Genomic DNA, 21,828 nt, shown 5'->3' with positions numbered 1-21,828 from the left:
CCAAAACAGCAAGTAGGTAACCACACCTTGAGGAAAACATCAAAGAGAGTATACTGGAATTCAGCAGGAAATTGATAGGGATCCTCTGATGACAGGAGGAAAGGGAACTGAGGTAGCCAGCCCAGCCAGGATCATCTCAAAACTAGGACTGATTCCCCCAAATCCCTAGTCCCACAGCACCATATACCTGTGGAAATAGGTGGTCACCTAATAGCCCACCAGGGAAACTACTCTAGGTCAAAGGGATCCTAAGTATGTGCTGTCTAGAGCCTAGGAGCCACCTGACTGACACCACTGCCACCACCAGCAGCCCTATCCCCTTCAGGGGCAGTGCTGTGCATACCTGTACATACCTTTAGGAGGCCGGAGGACTGGCCCACTCGAGTGTACCATGCAGGAGCCTGAGAACAAGCCTGTCAAACCCACCAGGGGTGGCGCCCATGTGAGCCATATGAGAGCCTGAAGACAAGGCCACTTTGCTTGCTGCTGCTATTGTTGCTATCAGTGCTCACATACACTGTCCAGGACCCTGAGGAGCAGTCCACCCCACCCAGGCCTCTGTGCCTTTACCCAGGCCCCGTCTACCACTAATACCAAGGAGAGTCCTACTGCCCCACCGGCACCTGCACATGGCATCCAGGAGCATAAAGACAGGGCTGCCTCACCAGCCACTGGCAAAGGTTCCTGCACGTGTCTTCAGTTAACCTGTGGACAAGCCTGCTCCACACACTGCCTTAGGTACCCACCTAAATGTTCCTCATAGGGGGCCAGAGAAATGCCCATGCAGCCTGCTTTCACCACTACCAGTGCCCATGCATGCTACCAAGGGATCCAAGGTCCGGCCCCCAGCTGCTACTGTCATCTCCAGTGCCACAAGTGTCACCAAGGTCCTGTGGCCTGGCCTGCTATTGCCACCTCTGATCCCAGCACACACCACCTGGAGGCCCAAGGGCCAGCCCACTCAGGTAACCCACTGCCACAAAAACTGGGAAGCATGGCCTGGTGCTGCCAATCACACATACATCCTTGTGTATGCCATCAATGTGCCTGAGGACCGGCCTGCTGTCCTCCCCATCACCATCAAGGCCTCACCACAGCATCCCCTGCTACTAACAACCACACCGTAAGCCACTGAGGAACTTACAGACGCTGATGTTGATTACAGCAGAAGAAAGCATAAGTATATGGAGACCACACCAATGCACCCACCCATCATCAATGCCAGAGCACCATATTCAACCAACAACATAGATACATCTACAGAAAAAAGTCAACCCCTAAAACTAGATGAAGTGACTGTTATACCAGCTGCACAGTTATCAACATTAAGGACACAAGAAGTATGAAAAATCAAAGAAACATGACACCTCCAAAGGAACAGAGTAATTCTCCAGTAACAGATCCCAAAGAAAACAAAACCTATAAAATTCAAAATAATGATCTTAAGGAAACATAGTGAGATACACAATAATACAAAGGAATCAGGAAAGATTCCTGATAGGAAAGATAGGTAATACAAATGAATCAGGAAAACAATTTATGATCTAAATAAGAAATTCAACAATGAAAAAGATAGCATTAAAAGGAACCAAACAGAAATCCTGGAACTGAGAATTCAATACATAAAATAAAAACAACTGAGAATGTTGGCAATAGACTAGATCAAGGAGAAGAATGAATTTCTGAACTTGAAGAGAGGTCTTTATATGAGGCCAGGCAAACAAAAAGCAAAAAGAAAAAAAAGAAAAGAAAAAGAATGAAGACAGTGTATGTAATATATGGACCATCATGAGCCAAAATTTTTTCGGATATTGGGAGTTGCAGAAATAGAAGAGATGGGAAAAGGCACAGAAAACCTATCTAATGAAATAATAGCTGAAAAACTACCAAGTCTTGTGAGAGATGCAAACATCTGGATACAGATGTCTCAAAGATCCCCAAAGAAATACAATAAAAAATGTCTTCTCTGCGGCACATCAGAGTCAAATGTCAAAAGTCAAAGACAAAGAGCAAGAGAAAAACACCAAGTCACATACAAGGGAATCCATATCAAATAGCATATTTGTCAGCAGAAACCTTAGAGGATAGGAGAGAATGACATGATATATTTAATATGCGGGAAGAAAAAGACTGCCTGTCAAGAATATTATACCTAGCAAAGCTATCCTTTAAAACTGAAAAAGAGGGGCCAGGTGCAGTGGTTCATCCCTGTAATCCTAGCACTTTGGGAGGCCAAGGTTGGGGGATTGCTTGAGCTCAGGAGTTCAAGACCAGCCTGGGCAATTTGGCAAAACCCTGTCTCTACGAAAAATATACAAATTAGCTAGGCATGGTGGCTCATGCCTGTAGTCCCAGCTACTCAGGAGGCTGAGGCACAAGAATTGCTTGAACCTGGGAGGCAGAGGTTGCAGTAAGCTGAGATCATGCCACTGAACTCCAGCCAGGGCAACAGAGTGAGACTCTGTCTCCAATAAATAAATAAAACTGAAAAAGAAATAACATCTCAGACAAGCAAAACCTGAAGGAATGCATCACCACTAGACTGATCCTACAAGAAATGCTTACAGGAGTCCTCAATCTGGAAGCAAAAAGACAATGTCTACCACCATGAAAATCAAAAAACTGTAAGACTCACTGGTAGAGCAGGTACAGAACTGAAAAAGAGAAAGGAATCAAACATTATCACTACAGAAAACCAGCAAATTGTAGAGGTAAACAATAAAAGAGGAAGATAGGAACAAATGATAGACAAAACAATCACTAAACAATTAATAAAATGAAAGGAGTAAGTCCTCACCTATCATAAAAACTTTGAATATACATGATTTAAATTCCCCAATTAAAGATATAGATAGAATGAATGGATTACAAAAAAAGACCAAATAATATGCTGTCTACAAGAAACTCACTTTACCTGTAAAGACACATAGACTGCAAGTGAAAGGAAGGAAGGATATTCCATGCAAATGGAAACCAAAAGCACACAGAAGTAGCTATATTTATATCAGACAAAATAGATCTTAAGTAAAAAAAAAAAAAAATAAATAAAAGAGAAAGAGAAGGGCATTATATAATAATAACAGGATCAATTCAGCAAGAGGATACAGCAGTCATAAAGGTATATATACTCAATACCTGAGCACACAGATATATAAGGCAAACATCACTGAAACTAAAGAGACAGATAGCCTCCAGTACAATAATAGATGGGGACTCCATAGTCTGACTTTCAGCATTGAAGGGATCATCTAAACAGAAAATCAACAAAGAAACATCAAAATGAACCTGCACTATAGACCACATGGACCTAGCAGACACTTACAGAACACTGTATTAAGAAGCTGCAGAATACACATTCTTCTCATTAGCACATAGAACATTCTCCAGAATAGACCATATATTGAGTTTAAAAGCTCATATCAAATATCTTCTCAAACCACAATGGAATAAAAATGGAAATCAGTAACGACAAAAACTTTGTAAACTGTACAAATGCATGGAAATTAAACAGCATGCTCCTGAATGAACAACTGGGCCAATCAATAAATTAAGAAAAAAAATTTAAAATATCTTGAAACAAATGAAAATGGGGAAAAAAAATCAATCCCTATAGAAAGTGACAAAAGAAGCACTAAGAGGGCAATTTATAGCAATTAACAGCTACATCCAAAAAAGAGAAAGACTTCAAATAAACAACCTAACAATACACCTGAAGAAACCAAAAAAGCAAGAACAGACCCAAAACTCAAATGTAGTAGAAGGAAAGAAATGATAAAGGCAGGGCAGAACTGAACGAGGTAGACTAATAAAGCAAAACTGCAAACTACATTAACAAGAAAAAAGAGAAAACTCAAGTAAATAAAGAGGGAAACATAAAAGGAGATAGCAAAGAAATACATGGAGTCATGAGAGACTATTATGAACAACTATATGCCAACAAACTGGAAACGTATGGAAAATGGATACATTCCTGGAAGTGCATAACCAGCAAGAATGAACCAAGAAGAAAAGGAAACCTGGACAGACCAATAACGGTAATGTAATTGAATCAGTAATAAAGTTTACCAACAAAGAAAGGTCTAAAACTGGGTAAGTTACTCTGAATTCTACTAAACTTTTAAGGAAAAACTAACAGCAATTTTTTATAAATTATTCCAAAATCTTCCTAGTTTATTCTAAAGGTCAGTATTACTCTAAGGCCAAACCCAGACAAAGACACAACAACAAAAGAAAACTACATGCCAATATCCCTGAAGGATGCAGATACAAAAATTGTCAGAGAAATAAAGGGGATCCAGATTGGAAAACAGAAAGTCAAATTGTCTCCCTGTGCACATGACCTGATCTCATATACAGAAAACCATAAACACGCCACCAAAAAAGCCTGTTAGAACTAAAGAATTCAGCAAAGGTGCAGGCCACAAAATCAGCATACAAAAATAATGCCAATAGCATGTGTAACATTTCTATACACTAATAATCAACTAGCATAAAAAGACATCAAGAAGGCCGTCCCACTATTCTAGCTACAAAATAATAAAATGGCTCAGAATAAAGTTAACCAGAGAGATTTTGTAAAGAGCTTTACAAAAAAAAAAAAAAAAAACTACAAAACACCGACAAAAGAAATTGTAGAGGACACAAACATGGAAAGATATTGCATGCTCACGGACTGGAAGAATATTGGTTAAATGACCTTATTACTGAAAGCAGTCTACAGACTGAACGCAAGCTCTATTAAATACCAATTTTGATGTTTTTAGGGGAAGACAAGATGGTCACCACATGCAGCCAGGAAATGCCTCTCTGCGAGAGAGAAACCAAAATATCAAGTAAATTATCACACTTGGAGTAGGTCTTTGGAGAGAAAACACTGAAATTTGATAGGTAATGCAGGCATCAAGGCTGAAGAGGAATAAATCTGGGAAGCCTGCACAGAGTCACCAAGCACTAGGATTACCTCCCAATCCAGAAACTAAGGAAGGGGTGGGTGAAGGAACTGTGCAGCACCACACTCCCACCAACGAACTCTGGGATACTAGCTCCCGGAGATCCCTGGACCCACACAGACATCTGAACTGGCAAGAGGAACCGGCTGGCGAATAGGCAGAGGCAGAGCTCAAACCCGCATACAGCCCAGAAGGTTTCGCACCTGGTACGGCTGCAGCAAAACATGACCATAGGCACCCATCCCCCAAGGCTCTCCATCTTGCTCTGAGTGACTCTAGCTCCTGCTTACTGCCAGGCCAGAAGACAGTAGGGCTGCATTTACCATGGGACTGCAGCATATCTGGTCTGTGTACCTTCTTGTCCACCAGCCCCTCCCAAGGCCCCTGCCTAGCTACTCACGCAAGGGTAAGCACACAGCACAGCCTCCACTGCCCCATCTGAGTGCTTTGCCGGAGGCCTGGGAGCAGTTCAGCCCCCACCCTCAGCACAGCCAAAGCTCAACCCCATGAGACCAGAAGACAAAGTCATGAACCTGGTCTCAATACCCCCAGGATTCAAGCACACTGCTCAAGTATACTGAGCTGGTATCTGTGGCCTGAGCTCAAGAAGAGGAGTAGCTTTCTCTCTCACAATGCCGAGAAGAGAGGGCCCAAGTTCATATGCCAGTGTGGGAGCCGGGTGTGCTCCCTCTGCAACAGCAGTCCCCAACCTTTTTGGCACCAGGTGCTGGCATTGTGGAAAACAATTTTTCCACAGACGGTGGGGTGGGGATGGTTTCGCGATGGAACTGTTCCACCTCAGATCGTCAGGCATTAGATTCTCATAAGGAGCACGCAACCTAGGTCCCTCACGTGCACAGTTCACAACACGGCTCGCGCTCCTATGAGAATCTAATGCCGCTGCTGATGTGACAAGAGGCGAAGCTCACGTGGTAATGCTCACTCACCAGCCCTCCCCTCACCTCCTGCTGTGCGGCCCAGTTCCTAACAGGCCACAGACCAGTACTGGTCTGCCACCTGGAGGTTGGGGACCCTGTTCTACAAGATCTGTCCAGGAAGGGTGTAACCTGTCTGTCCACAGCCTCTGCCTGAGGGAGCACCACTGCCTGAAACAGCTAACAGTCCAGTTGATCTGGGCACGGAAGGCTGGGGGACAAAACTACCTAGTTGGGCCTGCCCTGGGGGCAGACACTGGAGGGAGGCCTGGTTGGGTGAGTGCCAGCTAAGTGCTCCCCACAGCCATCTGCTGGGCAAAAAACCCTGGGCTGCACGCATCACACCAGGTGCACACCCACAGAACCACAGCCCTGCCCGGGGATCCTCCCCCCTTGACCCACATTATATCAACAGACGACCCGCAGATCCGCAGACATACTCTACAACCTGCTCTGACTCTACCAAGCCCAGACAACCAGCACGTCCCCAGAGAGTTGTAGGTCTCTCGGCAACCTAACTTTTGGCTTGGGCCGCTGCCCTAAGGGTGGGAGGTGTGCAGCCCTCAAAATTCAGGTGTGGCATCAGTGATTGGAGGGGGCTCTCCCAAGTTCCAGGAACTGATTTGGTGAGGGGGTTATCTCTCGCCTTCCCAATCCTACTTCTCCCCCTTCCCCAGAGCACTGCTGCCAACACGCTGAAACAGAAAAGAGGCATGCCAGCCCGTACTCTAGAGCACCATCTCCTGGATTGCAGACTGAATTACACCACCAAACAAAAATCATGATATACCTTCAACACACATCTGTGAAACCCAATGCAGGGAAGTAGCCACAAGGAAGGAACCTGTGTAGAGTCCTGGCCATCTGAAACCACCCAGAAAAAAAGGCCAATCAACTATACACAATACACACCACAAACCCTCAAGAGAAAAAAAAGAACATAAAAACAAAAATTCCCATCCAAATGACAGGAATTTCAAAACGATAAAGAAACATCAGCATTTTCAGAGGAGGAATAATCAGCACAAGAACTCTAGCAATTCAACAAATCAGAGCATTTCATTACCTCCAAAAAATCACACTAGCTCCCCAGCTATAAATTCTCACCAGATTAAAGTGTAATGACATGCTTTATCACAGACATGTGATTCAGAATCTCAATGGCAACAAAGCTCAATGAGATTAAAGAGAAAGTTGAAATCCAATCCAAGGAAGCCAGTATAACCATCCAAAAGTTGAAACACGACAGAGCCATTTTTAAAAAGAATCAAACTGAACTTCTGGAGCTGCAAAATTCAACACAGGAGGGAGCTTCAAAACCAGATGAGACCAAGCGGAGGGAAGGATTACAGAGCTCAAAGACCTGTCTTTTGAGTCAGCCCAGTCAGACAAAAATAAAGAAAAAACCATTTTAAAAATGAACAAAACATCTGAGGAATGTGGGATTTTGTAAAGACACTAATCTATGACTCATTGGCATGGCTGAAAGAGAAGGAGAGAGAGGAAGCAACATGGAAAACATATCTGAGGATATAGTCCATGAAATTTCCCCAATCTCATTACAGAGGTTGATGGAAAAATTCAAGAAATTCAGAGAACCTCTACAACCATCCCCAAGATACACAGCCCATCAGACTTTCCAAGGTCAACACGAAAGGAAAAATCTCACAGGCAGCTATAACAGCTGCATCAGGTGAAAAGCTGACCTCTTTCCGGCAAAACCTTATAAGCCAGAAAGTGGGGCCTGTTGTCAGCATCCTTAAAGAAATTTCAGCCAAGAACTTCATACCACTCCAATCTAAGCCTCATCAGTGACAGAGAAATACAATCTTTTCCAGACAAACACTAAAGAAATTCATTACCGCTAGACCAGACTTACAAGAGATTCTTAAGGAGTTCTAAATATGGAAAAGAAAGAACAATACCCACTACCACAAAAACACACCTAAGTACATAGCCCACAGACCCTATTACACAACTACACAATCGAGAGTACAAAGCAAACAGCTAAAAACATCATGGCGGAATCAAAATCTCACATATAAATATTAATACTGAATTCAATGGTCTAAATGCCTCACTTAAAAGGCACAGAGTGGCAAGTTGAATTAAAAAAAAACAAACCAATAAGAATCAACAGTCTGCTATATTCAAAAGACACATCTCACATGTAATGGCACCCACAGGCTCTGAGTAAAGAGATAGACAAAGATCTGTCATGCAAATAAAATGCAAAAAGCAAGGGGTTGTTATTCTTAGATAAAACAGACTTTAAACCAACAACAGCCAAAAAAGGATGAAGAAGGGCATTACACAATGATAAAGGACTCACTTCGCCAAGAAGACATCCCTATCCTAAATACATACCCACCCAACACTGGAGCACCCACATTCAAAAACAACCAAGTACTTCCAGACCTACCAAAAGACTCAGTCACACAATAACAGTGGGGATCTTCAACATTTCATTGATAGTGTTAAGGCAAATCATTGAGACAAAAAACTAACAAAGAAATTCTGGGCTTAAATTTAACACTTGACTAATTGGACCTAACAGACATCTACAGAATACTCCACCCAACAACTACAGAATACACTTTTTTCTCATCTGCACAAAGAACATACTCCAAGATCAACAACATGTTTGACCATAAAGCAAGTCATGATAAATTTTTAAAAAATGAAATCACACAACACCATTCTCTTGGACTACAGTGCAATAAAAATAGAAATGAATACCAAGAAGATCTCTGAAAACCACACAATCACATGGAAATCAAACAACTGGCTCCTAAATGACTTTGGGAAAAGAAAGAATTTCAGGCAGAAATCAAACAATGATTTGTAATAAGCAAAAAGAAACATCATACCAAAACTTCTGGGATACAGCAAAAGCAGCATAAGAGGAAAGCTTATAGTGCAAAACAAATATGTTGAAAAGTTAGACAGATCTGTAATTAACAATCTGACACTGTGCCGAGAGGAACTAAAAAACAAGGACAAAATAACCCCAAAGCTGGCAACAGAAAAGAAATAACTAAAATTAGAGCATAACTGAGAAAACTTGAGGCCCAAAAATCCATACAAAGGATCGGTGAAACCAAAAGTTGGCTTTTTGAAGGGATAAAAATACCGACAGGCTACTAGCTAGATAAATAAATAAATAAATAAATAAATAACAGAGAACATCTAAATAAGCACAATCAGAAACAACAAAGATGACATTACAACCAATCCCACAGTAATACAAAAGATCCTCAGAGACTACAATGAACACCACTGTATACACACAAACTAGAATATCTAGGAGAAATGGATAAATCCTTGGAAACCAACAAAGATTGAACCACGAGGAAATTGAAATCATGAACAGACAAATAACAAGCTCTGAAATTGAATCAGTAATAAAAAACCAACTAGCCAAAAACAGATTCAGATCAGACTGACTCATAGCCAATTTCTACCAGACATACAAAGAAGAGCTGTTAACAAACCTAATGAAACTATTCCAAAATATTGAGGAGATACTTCTCCCTAACTCATTGTATGATGCCAGCATCATCTTGATACTAAAAGCCAGCAAAGACACAATGAATAAAGAAAACTACAGCCCAATATCCCCAATGAATGTAGACACCAAAGTCCTCAATAAAATATCAGCAAACAAAATCCAGCAAACACATCAAAAACTTACTTCACCACAATCAAGTCAGCTTTATTTTTGTGATGCAATTGGTTCAAAGTACACAAATCAATAAATGTGTTTCACCACATAAACAGAATGAAAACGAAAAACCATATGATCAACTCAAAAGATGCAAAAAAGCTTTCAATAACGTCCATCATCCCTTCATGAAAAAAACACCCAACAAATTAGGCATCAAAGAAACAGACCTCAAAATAATAAAGGCCACTCTATAACAAACCCACAGCTAAAACCATACAGAATGGGCAAAAGCTGGAAGTGGGGGCTAAGTGCAGTGGCTCATGCTTGTAACCCCAGCATGTTGGGAGGCGAAGACAGGAGAATCACTTGAGGCCAGGAGTCTGAGACCAGGCTGGGCAACACAGTGAGACCTTGTCTCTATAAAATAGTAAAGAAAAAAATTAAAGAAAAAAGAACAAAAATAGTTGGAAGCATTCCCCTTGCCAACTGGAACAAGACAAAGATGCCCACTCTCACTGTATGTATTCAACATAGTACTGGAACTCCTAGCCAGAGCAATCAGGAAAAAGAAAGAAAGAAAAGGCATCCAAAAAGGAAAAGAAGCCAAACTATCTCTCTTTGCTGATGATATGATTCTGTACCTAAAAAACTCTAAAGAGTTTGCCAATTTATCCTGGAACTGATAAATGACTTCAGTCAGGACACAAAAATCAATGTAAAAATATCCATAGCATTTCTATATACCAATAAAGTTCAAGCTGAGAGACAAATCAAGAATGTAATCCAATTTATAATAGCCACACACAAAAAAGCAAAATACTTAGGAATGCATCTAACTACAGAGATGAAAGGTGGTTACAAGGAGAACTACAAAACACTGCTGAAAAAAAATCATGACACCAAATAGATGACACCAAAAAAAATGGCAAAACATTCCATGCTCATGAATTGGAAAAATCAATCGCATTAAAATGGCCATACTGCCCAAAGCAGTCTACAGATTCAATACCATTCCTATCAAACTACTAATGTCATTTTTCACAGCATTAGAAATAACTATTCTAAAACTTCATATGGAACCAGAAAAGAGCCCAAACACCCAGAGCCATCCTAAGCAAAGAGAACCAAGCCTGATGCATCACATTACCCAACTTCAAACTATACTACAGTAAACAAACGCTACACTAAACAAATCAGCACGGTACTGGCACAAAAACAGACACATAGACCAATGGAACAGAACAGAGAGCCCAGAAATAAAGCCACACGCCTACAACCATTGGGTCTTTGACAAAGCCGACACAAATATGCAATGGGGAAAGGACTCCCTATTCAATAAATGGTGCTGGGATGACTGGTTATCCATACACAGAAGAATGAAACTTGACCCCTAGCTATCACCACATACAAAAATTAATGAAAGCTGAATTACATTCTTAAAAGTAAGACCTCTAACTATAAAAATCCTACAAGAAAACCTAAGAAATACACTATTAGAAATCAGCCTCTGAAAATAATTTATGAATAAGCCCTCAAAAGCAATTGCAACAAAAGTCAAAATGAAAAATTGGGACCTAGAGGGGAGGGAGGGGAGGGAGAGGAGGGAGGGGCGGGGGCCGGGCCTCCCAGCGCGGTACGCGGTGCCTTTTGAGCTCCTTGTCCACGCTCCGCCCCTGTGGGAACGGCCGCGCTCCCCGCAGCTGGTCATCCGCCGCCTGCCTCCGGGCCTCACCAAGGAGCAGCTGGAGGAGCAGCTGCGCCCGTTGCCAGCACACGACTACTTCGAGTTCTTCGCCGCCGACCTGAGTCTTTATCCTCATCTCTACTCAAGAGCATACATTAATTTTAGGAATCCTGATGACATCCTTCTTTTTAGAGATCGTTTTGATGGGATATATCTTCCTTGACAGCAAAGATCCAGAATATAAGAAGTTTTTAGAAACCTACTGTGTGGAGGAAGAGAAGGCCAGTGCCAACCCTGAGACTCTGCTGGGGGAGATGGAGGCGAAGACAAGAGAGCTCATTGCTAGAAGAACCACACCTCTTTTGGAATATATTAAAAATAGAAAATTAGAAAAGCAGAGAATTCGAGAAGAGAAGCGAGAAGAACGGAGGAGGAGAGAGTTAGAAAAGAAACGTTTGCGGGAAGAGGAAAAAAGAAGAAGAAGAGAAGAAGAAAGATGCAAAAAAAAAAAGAGAGACAGATAAACAGAAGAAAATTGCAGAGAAAGAAGTAAGGATTAAGCTTCTTAAGAAACCAGAAAAGGGAGAGGAACCAACCACAGAGAAACCAAAAGAAAGAGGAGAGGAGATTGATACTGGAGGTGGCAAGCAGGAATCCTGTGCCCCCGGTGCAGTCGTAAAAGCCAGGCCCGTGGAAGGCTCGCTGGAGGAGCCCCAGGAGACGTCACACAGCGGCAGTGATAAAGAGCACAGGGATGTGGAGAGATCTCAAGAACAAGAATCTGAAGCACAAAGACACCATGTGGATGATGGCAGGAGGCACAGAGCTCACCACGAGCCTGACCGGCTTTCCAGAGGGAGTGAGGATGAGCAGAGATGGGGGAAAGGACCTGGCCAAGACAGAGGGAAGAAGGGGAGCCAGGACAGCGGGGCTCCGGGGGAGGCCATGGAGAGACTGGGAAGAGCGCAGAGGTGTGACGACAGTCCAGCACCCAGAAAAGAGCGACTGGCAAACAAGGACCGGCCAGCCTTGCAGCTGTATGATCCAGGAGCTCACTTCCGAGCGCTAGAGTGTGGCGGAAACAGGAGGATCTGCAAGGCAGAAGGTTCGGGAACTGGTCCTGAGAAGAGGGAAGAGGCAGAGTGAGTCACTGCACGCACCTGGCCTCCATGGACGAGCGAGGGCATCCCAGAAACGTGTAAATGACCCCGAGTGTGACTGGGAAGGAGAACTTATTCCTTACCAGGAAACTGGAAGCTAAAACTACAGAGGGTGACATAGAAACACGCAGAAACCATTCTAAAGAAAGTAGTGATCTTGTATTAAATTGAGCAGAATTCTCACAGATTTTACCATTCCTGTTATAAACTAGTATTTGTTGTTTAGCCAAAACAGAAAATGATTTCCACTGGACAGTAGAAAAATATGTGTAAAATAGGGAAGAAAGTTAGTATTGGATCAGTGTGAGTCCTGAAGCACTTTCAGTGCTGTGAGAACGACATCCACTTTGGGTTTCATTCGTTTGTAAGCAGAGGAGCTGTCAGTCACTCGTGCTTCTCGTTGGCCTCTGAGCCATGGTGTCGAGTGAAGAGTAGTTCTTGTTTGTTACAACCTTTGTGAGTCAGCCATGCCTGCAAAGTGTGCTGTGTTTTAGTCCTGGTAGGAATATTTATCAGAGTTCACACTATATAAAACCCAACAGCTTCAACTATTGCCCTTTCAACAGTTTTGCCACTGACCGGATAAAAACGGTTTCAGTCTTTGGATGGATGTGTTTGTGGTTTGTAACCATTACGGTTTAAACCATGGTTTAAGAATTTGCCCAAATAACAGAAATTTTGTTCGGGAAGGGATAAACGAGATATAGCATATAGAGCCTGTTTTTGAGTTTTAGATACTTTATTTGTAAATAACTTAAAATAGCTTTCTGAAACCGTGCATTCTGTAGTTTCTTCCTTTCAGTGAAATTGCTAAATGTGAATGTATTTTTGGCACTGCGATTTTAACCATTTATTAAATAAAAATTTTGTTAAAGAAAAAAAAAAAAGAAAAGAAAAATTGGGACCTAGTTAAACAAAGGAGCTTCTGCATAGGAAAAGGAACCATTCAAGAGACTAAATAGGCAACCTAAATAATGAAAGAATGTATTTACAAGCTATGCATTGAACAAAGTTCTAATATCCAGAACCTATAAGGAACTTAAATCAACAAACAAGAATTTAAAAAAATATATAAAAGCGGGCAAAATACATTAACAGACACTTCTCAAAAAAAGACATAAAAGTGGAGAGCAAACATATGAAAAAATGCTCATCATCACTGATCATCAGAGAAAAGCAAATCAAAGCCACAATGACATACCATCTCACACCAGACATAATGGCTATTACTAAAAAGTCAAAAAATAAGCAACAACAACCCAGATTTTGGCAGAGCTGCTACAGCAAAAAGGGAATTCTAATACACTTTTGGGAGAAAATGGTAAATTCGTTCAGCCACTGTGGAAAGCAGTTTGGAGGTTTCTCTCACGGAACTAAAAGTAGAACTGCCATTCAACCCAGCAATCCCATTAGTTGGTTAAATATCCACTTCCCACCACCAAAAAATCATTCTACCAAAAAGACACATGCACCCAATGTTCACTGCAGCACTATTCACAATAGCAAAGATATGGAATAAAACCAGAAGCTCATCAATGATGCACTGGATTAAGAAAATGTAGCACATATACAATATGGAATACTATGCAACTATAAAAAGAACAAAATACTGCCCTTTGCAGCAACATGGATGCAGCTGGAGGCCATTATCCTAAGCAAACTGATGCAGAAACAGAAAACCAAATACTACATGTTCTCACTTATAAGTGGGAGCTAAACACTGGGTACACATGGACATAAAGATGGGAGCAATAGACAGTGGGGACTATAAGAAGGGGGACTGGGTTGGACAATGATTGAAAAATGACATGCCAGGTACTATGCTCATTACCTGGGTGATAGGTTCAACTGCACCCTAAACCTAAGCATTATGCAATATACCTGTGTAACAAACCTGCACATGTACTCCCTGAATCTGAAAGTTAAGAAAGAGAAAGAATAAGATAAAAATAAAATGCCCTTTATAACTTGCAACAAAAAAACACCAATAACCCTCTTCACAGAAATGGAAAAAACAATCCTAAAATTCATATGGAACTGCAAAAAAGCTAGACTATACAAGCCAAGCCTGAGGGAAAAGAACAGAGCTGGAGGCATCACTCCACCTGACTTCAAAATATATTACAAGGTTACAGTAACCAAAAGAACAAGGTCTTGGTATAAAAATAGAAAATTAAACCAATGGAACAGAGAATGCAGAAATAAATCCACATATTTACAGACACCTGATTTTCAACAAAAGTATCAAAAACATACATTGGGGAAAGAACCCTCTCTTCAACAAATGGGGCTGGGAAAAGTGGGTATCTGTAAAAAGAAGAATGAAACCAGGTCCCTATCTTTCACCATATACAAAAATCAACTCAAAATAGATTAAAGACTTAAACATGAGATCCAAAATTATAAAACTACTACAAGAAAATATATGGAAAATGCTTCAGGACATTGGTCAAGGCAAAGATTTTATAGCTAAGTTATCACGGGCATATGCAAAAAAAAGCACAGGTATAAAAACAAAAATACATAAGTAAAGCTATATTAAAATTAGGTTTCTTCACAGCAAAGGAAACAATCAACAAAGTGAAGGAAACAACCAACAATTGTAGACTGGGAGAAAATATTTACAAATCTATTCATCTGAGAAAGGTCTAATATCTAGAATATGCCAGGAACTCAAACAACTCAACAGTAAAAATTGTTAATAATCCCCCCTGAAATGTGGAGAAAGAATTTAAATAGACATTTCTAAAAAGAAGACATACGAATGTCCACAAATGTATGGAAAAGTACTCAACATCACTAACAGGAAAATGAAAACAAAATCCCAAATAAGATATCGTCTCACCACAGAATGGCTACTATCAAAAAAATCAAAAAACAAAAAACAAAGAAACCAGAAGTAAAAAATCCTGGCGAGGTTGGAGAGAAAAAGAAAACTCTTATGCTCGTGGAGGGAATGTAAACTAGTATAACCATGGAAGTTTCTTAAAAAGCTAAAAATAGAAGTGTCATATGATCCAACAATCCCACTACTAAGTATTTATCCAAAAGAAAGAAAATCAGCGTATCAAAGGGATACCAGTATTCCCATGTTGATTGCAGCACTATTCACAACAACCAAGATACAGAATCAACCTAAATGTTCATCAACAGATCAATGTGGTTGATGAGTAAAGAAAATGTGGTATATGTCCACAGTGGAATACTATTCAGCCATAAAAAAAGAATAAAATCATATCATTTACAGCATGGATGAGGCCATTAAGTGACACTAAGTGAAATAATTCAAGCACAGAAAAATAACTACTGTATGTTTTCACTCATGTGGGAGCTAAAATTTAAAAAAACGTTCACGGAAGTAGAGAGTAGAACTGTGGGTATTAGAGGCTGAGAAAGGTAAAGGGGAGTAGAAGATGGGGAGAGGCTGGTTAATGGATACAAGATTACAGTTACATAGGAGGAATGAATTCTAGTGTTCTGTTGCATTGTAGGGTGAATATGGTTAACTAATATTTTTTTTTTTTTGAGACAGAGTCTTGCTCTGTCACCCAGGCTTGGCGTGCAGTGGTGCAATCTCAGCTCACTGCAATCTCCGCCTCCGGGGTTCAAGCCATTCTCCTGCCTCAGCCTCCCAAACAGCTGGGATTACAGGTGTGTGCCACTACACCTGGCTTGGCTAGCTAATATTTAAAAAGCTAGAGGAGAGGATTTTGAAAGTTCACAACACAAAGAAATGGTAAATGTTTGAGGTGATGGAATATATTAATTAGCCTGATTTGACCATTATACATTGTTTACACATATCAAAATATCACTGTGTATACCATAAATATGTACAATTATACAGGTCCACAAAAAATCAAAGGAAGCCAGGTGTGGTGTCACATTCCTGTGGTCTCAGCTACTTGGGAGGCAGAGGCAGGAAGAATTCTTGAGACATGGAGGTCAAGGCCGGCCTGGGTAACATAATAAGACACCATGTCTAAAAAAAAAATACATCAATAAAAATAAAAGCAAAATCATTCATCCTATATATAGACTATAGGTGAAACTTAGTGACTTGCTTCTAATGAACAGAAAGTGTTAAAAGTGATAACCATGTGGCTTCGAACATTAAGTTAGAAGAGGCTCTCTACCGCAGACTGCTCACCCTTGGACCCCAGCCCCCATGTTGTGAGGAAGCTTAGGCCACAAAGAGAGCCTAGGAGTTCCAATGTAGATATTTGGGCAACCTGCCCCAGCTAAAGTTCCAACCAATAGCCACCATCAGCAACAGACATCTTAGTGAACAAACCTTCAGATGATTCCAGTCCCTCAGCCTTTGATTTATCCCAAGTGAAGCTGAAGGGAGCAGAGGCAAGCTGTCCCAGCCAAGGTTTTCCCAAGCCACAGATTGGTGAACTAAACGAATGTTGTTCTTAGCCACTCAACTTTGGGTAATTTGTTAGGAAAAAATAACCAGAAAAATAAATTTAAACAAGGAGACAACAAGAAATAGAATAACATACCCAGTAGAAATTAGTCTCCTTTAAAGTAAGATCTAAAAAATGTTGAGGTTAATTTATTAATGACAAACAACTCTAATGGGAAGCAGCAGACAACCAGGAGAAGGATGTAAGAACTACTGCAGAGGAAGTTTAGAAAAAGTTCCTTTCGATTACAAATTCTGATGACTAAGCCAGTGAGGCTTTTAGAATTTGTCCCCCGAGTTATGAAATAAGGAAGATGAAGAACGAAGGAGATATATAATTTGAAGTATAAAGTTGAAAAAACCAGAAATATTTGATTAATAACCAAAAATCAGACATTGTACCTGATTTCAATGAACTGAAATTCTAAAAGTGATAAGCAGCTTTGGATATTTATTAGTCAATCTAGGATTCAATCTTCATTTCCATTACCTCACTGAGAAAATTAACAAAATATTATGGAATCAGTTTTAACAATCTCAGAAGTAAAAATGTAGTGTCCTTTGAGTGTTAAGCTATTAAATGCAATTTCCCCTTTACCTTACTTCAAGCTCATTTGTATGGAGAAGGGAAGAGCATCTCATCTTTATGTTGTATCAAAATGCTTCTCCATATCATACAAATTGGCTCTGAAATTTTGAAATTCATACAACTAATTCAACCATTTGTTTCTGATAAATGCCTGGACATGACCTGATTTCCAGTTGCTGCACTCCTGGAAGTTGTTCTTTGAATGGGTTGAAGTATTTATTCAATGAATTATGTATTGAACTATAAAAGCATAGCTATGCATCTCTATTTAAGCAAAAGGAGGTAAATGCAGGGAACTCTGGTTTCTGAGAATGTAGTATCTGTGCCAAGAAGAGGATTCAGCTCCGGGAGTGTACAAGAGAACCGGGTGCTGGGTCAAAAGAGTATCTAACTGTAAACTGCAACATGATGAATTAGCTCAATTTCCAATGAGGAAAGATGACAGCCTAGACTTAATCTTGCCCTTCATAGATAGTTAAAATCTACACATGACTCTATGACTTACAATGAGTTAATAAAAACATAATGCAGTAAATAGTAGACGGAGTCAGCATATCCTGTGACCAAGATTTGATGGAAATGGGAATGAAGAGAGAGGCACTGGGTGAGAGACAAAAGGTATGACTGGAGAAAAAAAATTAATGGGATCTGTCTTCATAAGCCTGACTCTCATCATGTCATGGAGTCAGCAAGGCATAAGCTGGCCATACACTCCTTCAAGAAGCAAAAAGTGAAATTAAAGACATTCTACTACTTGAATTTCTATTCTTACATAAGACAACTGGTAATAAGCAACAGGACTGAAAATGAATTTTCCTAAAATGTGATTTGCTACTGGCATAAGGATAGACATAGCTCAATATATTAGAACTGAGAATCCAAAAACAAACCCACACTTTTATGGTCAACTGATTTTCAACAAAGGTGTAAAAAAAATTAAATGAGAAATGAATAGATTTTTCAACAAATGGTTCTGGGAAAACGGTATATCCACATGCAAAAGAATAAAGGTGGACTTCACCAAATGTCATATCTAAAAGTAACAAAATAGAACCGCTAAATGTAAGAACTAAAACTATAAAATTCCTAGAAGAAAACATAGCCATAAATCTTTGTGACTGCAAAACAAACAAACAAAAAATTAACTGGACTTCATCAAAATGTGAAACTTCTGTGCTTGAACAGAGACCATCAAGAAAGTGAAAAGGAGGCTGGGCATGGTGGCTTACACCTATAATCCCAACACTTGGGAGGCCGAGGTGGGAGGATTGCTTGAGCTCAGGAGTTCAAAACCAGCCTGGACAACATAGTGAGACCTTCTCTCTACAATTTAAAATTATATAAATTTTAAAAACATAATAAATCATAAAAAAGAAAATAAAAAGGAAAGCCATTGAAAATATTTGGAAACATATCTGATAAGGGACTTACACCTAGGGTATATAAAGAACTCTTAAAATTCAGAAATTTAGGACAACCCAATTTTAATGTGGGCAAAAGATTTGAACAGATATTTCTCCAGAGAAGATATACAAGTGGCTCATAAGCACATAAAAAGAGGCTTAAAGTCATTCATCATTAGGGAAATGTGAATCAAAACCACAATGAGGTACCACTTCATACCTCTAGGTTGGAATCCTTTTTCAATCAAAAATATGAAAAATGTTGGCAAGGATGTGGAGAAATTAGAACCCTCATACAATGCTGATGGGAATGTAAAATGGTGCAACCACTTTGGAAAGCAGACTGGAAGCTCCTCAAAATGTTAAGCATAGTGTTACCATATGACCCAGAAATTCAACTCATATGTATATACCCAAGAGAAAGGAATACATATACAAACACAAAAACTTGTAAATAAAAGTTCACAGCAGCATGATTAATAATAGCCAAAACATGGAAACAACCCAAAGGTCCATCAACTGATGAATGGCTAAATAAATTAGTGGTATGTCCATACAGTGGAAAATTACTCAGCAATAAGATGAAATTAAATACTGATACATGTTACAACACAATGAACCTTAAAAATGTTATGCTAAGTAGAAGAAGCCAGTCACAAAAGACCACCACACATTGTGTGATCCAATTGATACGTGGTGTCCAGAATGGGCTAATCTATGGAAACAAAATAGATTGCTGATTCTTTTCAGGGTCATGAAAATGTCCTACAATTGATGATGGTGATGGTTATGCAACTCTGTGAATATATTAAGAGACCATGAATTGTACACGTTCAATGGGTAAACTGTATGGTATGAGAATTCTCTCTCAGTAAACTTGTTTTTAAAAATTCAGTGGTAGAATCTAGATATATCTCTTAATTCTCTACTTTGGATGTACATACTATACATGATTTGTAAAAAAGCACAATATATTTAAAATGAAAGGAAAATAAAGGAAGTACCTAACATTTCAAGTAGTTTGTAAATTAAAACATTTGCATTTTGGAGAACAGTACTATGGCCTTTCTGTACCAGTTATCCTGAAATTCATGAAATAAATATACACAGATTCTGTACCCATTCACAAAAGTAAAGATAAGAAATAAGACAATTTTCTGGAACATTCTATTAAACATTATCCTATAATTTAATCTGGCTTGCCTCACCATGGCAATAGAGAAATCACTAAAAAAATACTACTTCACAGGAAAAAAAAAAAGCCTCTCAACTTCTGTGAGGAATACTGAATAATTCCCAATTTTCCTAAGGATCTTTGGAAATGATCCTTATTTTTAAAATGTACTTATGAGGAGAAAAGGACAGAATGAAAGCCAGATGGTAAGAAACAAGTGTATTATAAAGATAATTAAATTGTAATAAAATGAATTATAATAAAAATACAAAAGAAAGCTATCCACTGCAATCAGTATCCTAAAACATCTGACATTATTTCACCACCTATAGATTAACTGTTGACATGTTATGTTTCATACATACTTCACTTCTGATTTGACCCAATTTCTTCTTTGAATCCTGTGTCTCATCTAAATTAATGTGACAACGTGAGGTAGCCTCTGACGTAGGTTGTTGTTTTAGGAGATCGGTCCATTCTTGCTGGAATTCTCTCATAACTACCTGTGAAGGTATTTTTTGTTACTGATTTATAAATCACCTTATTATTAAATTATGGTAGTAAGATTTAACTCTAACTCATATACTTTGAAAAACATCAACACATATATGATTCGCCTTCTTTTCCTCATGTGCACACATTCTTGTTTATTACTGAATTTAGTTAAGGACAAAGAAGGTGTTATCTTCCTGCCAAATCGGTTTTCTGTTAACTTAGGCAATAGATTCAGCCCACTACTCACTCTTCCCTGAAACATCTGCAGTGCTTAACAACCTACTGAAGTCTCAAAAAGAATTTGATACGTGGGTGGGGCTGCTGGTGGTACATCCCACACTGGTAAAATGTTTTCTCTGTTTTTTATTAGAAGCTCAAATCAACCTCAGAGTTCCTTGCATATTCAATTGCCTGCTCAGATCCTTCTAAAAGATTTCTATCTCACAATACAAGTAAAATTCCAATGGCCTTTGAGGCCCTAGGTAACCTGGCCTCTACCTCCCTCCTGATCTCAGCTCCTACAACTGTCTCACCGATTCAGTCCATTCCTGCTATATGTGAATCCTGCCACTTCTGATTAGTTTGAAAATGGGACTCAATGCCAAACAAATAAATCACAGATAGCCACAGTTACCTTTGTACTATCAGTTATATCCGAATGATAGGCAGTGAGCCTTGAAATGAAAATTATGAGCAAATTCTTTGTAAAAACATTCAAAGTAAATGATAAATACCAGTGGTAAGATTAAATGTAACATGGCTTTGCTGAAATTCACATCTGTCCCAAATTATGATTTAATAAAAAGTAAATGCCTTTAGGCCGGGCACAGTGGCTCACGCCTCTAATCCCAGCACTTTGGGAGGCCAAGGCGGGCGGATCACCTGAGGTCAGGAGTTCCAGACCAGCCTTGCCAACATGGCAAAACTCCGTCTCTACTAAAAATACAAAACTTACAGAGCAAGATTCCATCTCAAAAAAAAAAAAAAAAAAAAAAAAAGTAAATGCCTTTAAAGAATTGAGCGGTCATAACAAGTAATTTGAGACTGAAATCGTCTCAGATTTAAGTCAAATTGATATGAATAAAAATAAAATTATACCAACTTAAATACATTACAAAATTACTGAAGGAAAAGTATTATGAGATACAGCAGTATACTTCAGTTCACCTGGGAAATCTGGAATTAACGGTCAAAGCAACCCTCCCCACTGAATCTTAATTTCAAAATACTCATGTCAGGTATGAGCATTTCTGTTTATCTGCTTCATCATGGTATTAAAACATGGCCACATAAAGGCATTGCAATGATCATTTCAGCAGCATAAGACTACATCATGAGTATTAGTCTGTACCTATTAACAC

General features: G+C 39.6%; 2 pseudogenes across 1 annotated transcript in view; one reads left to right on the top strand and one right to left on the bottom strand.

Annotated features, from left to right (window-relative positions):
- The window catches only part of CCDC144CP (coiled-coil domain containing 144C, pseudogene), an 81,018-nt pseudogene that overhangs the window by 14,104 nt on the left and 45,086 nt on the right, over positions 1-21,828 (bottom strand). The window lies entirely within an intron of this gene.
- UPF3AP2 (UPF3A pseudogene 2) lies at positions 11,144-13,272 on the top strand (annotated as a pseudogene).

This window comes from Homo sapiens, chromosome 17 (genome assembly GCF_000001405.40).
Source record: "Homo sapiens chromosome 17, GRCh38.p14 Primary Assembly".
NCBI lineage: Eukaryota > Metazoa > Chordata > Mammalia > Primates > Hominidae > Homo > Homo sapiens.
This window is presented reverse-complemented; position numbering and strand designations above follow the sequence as displayed.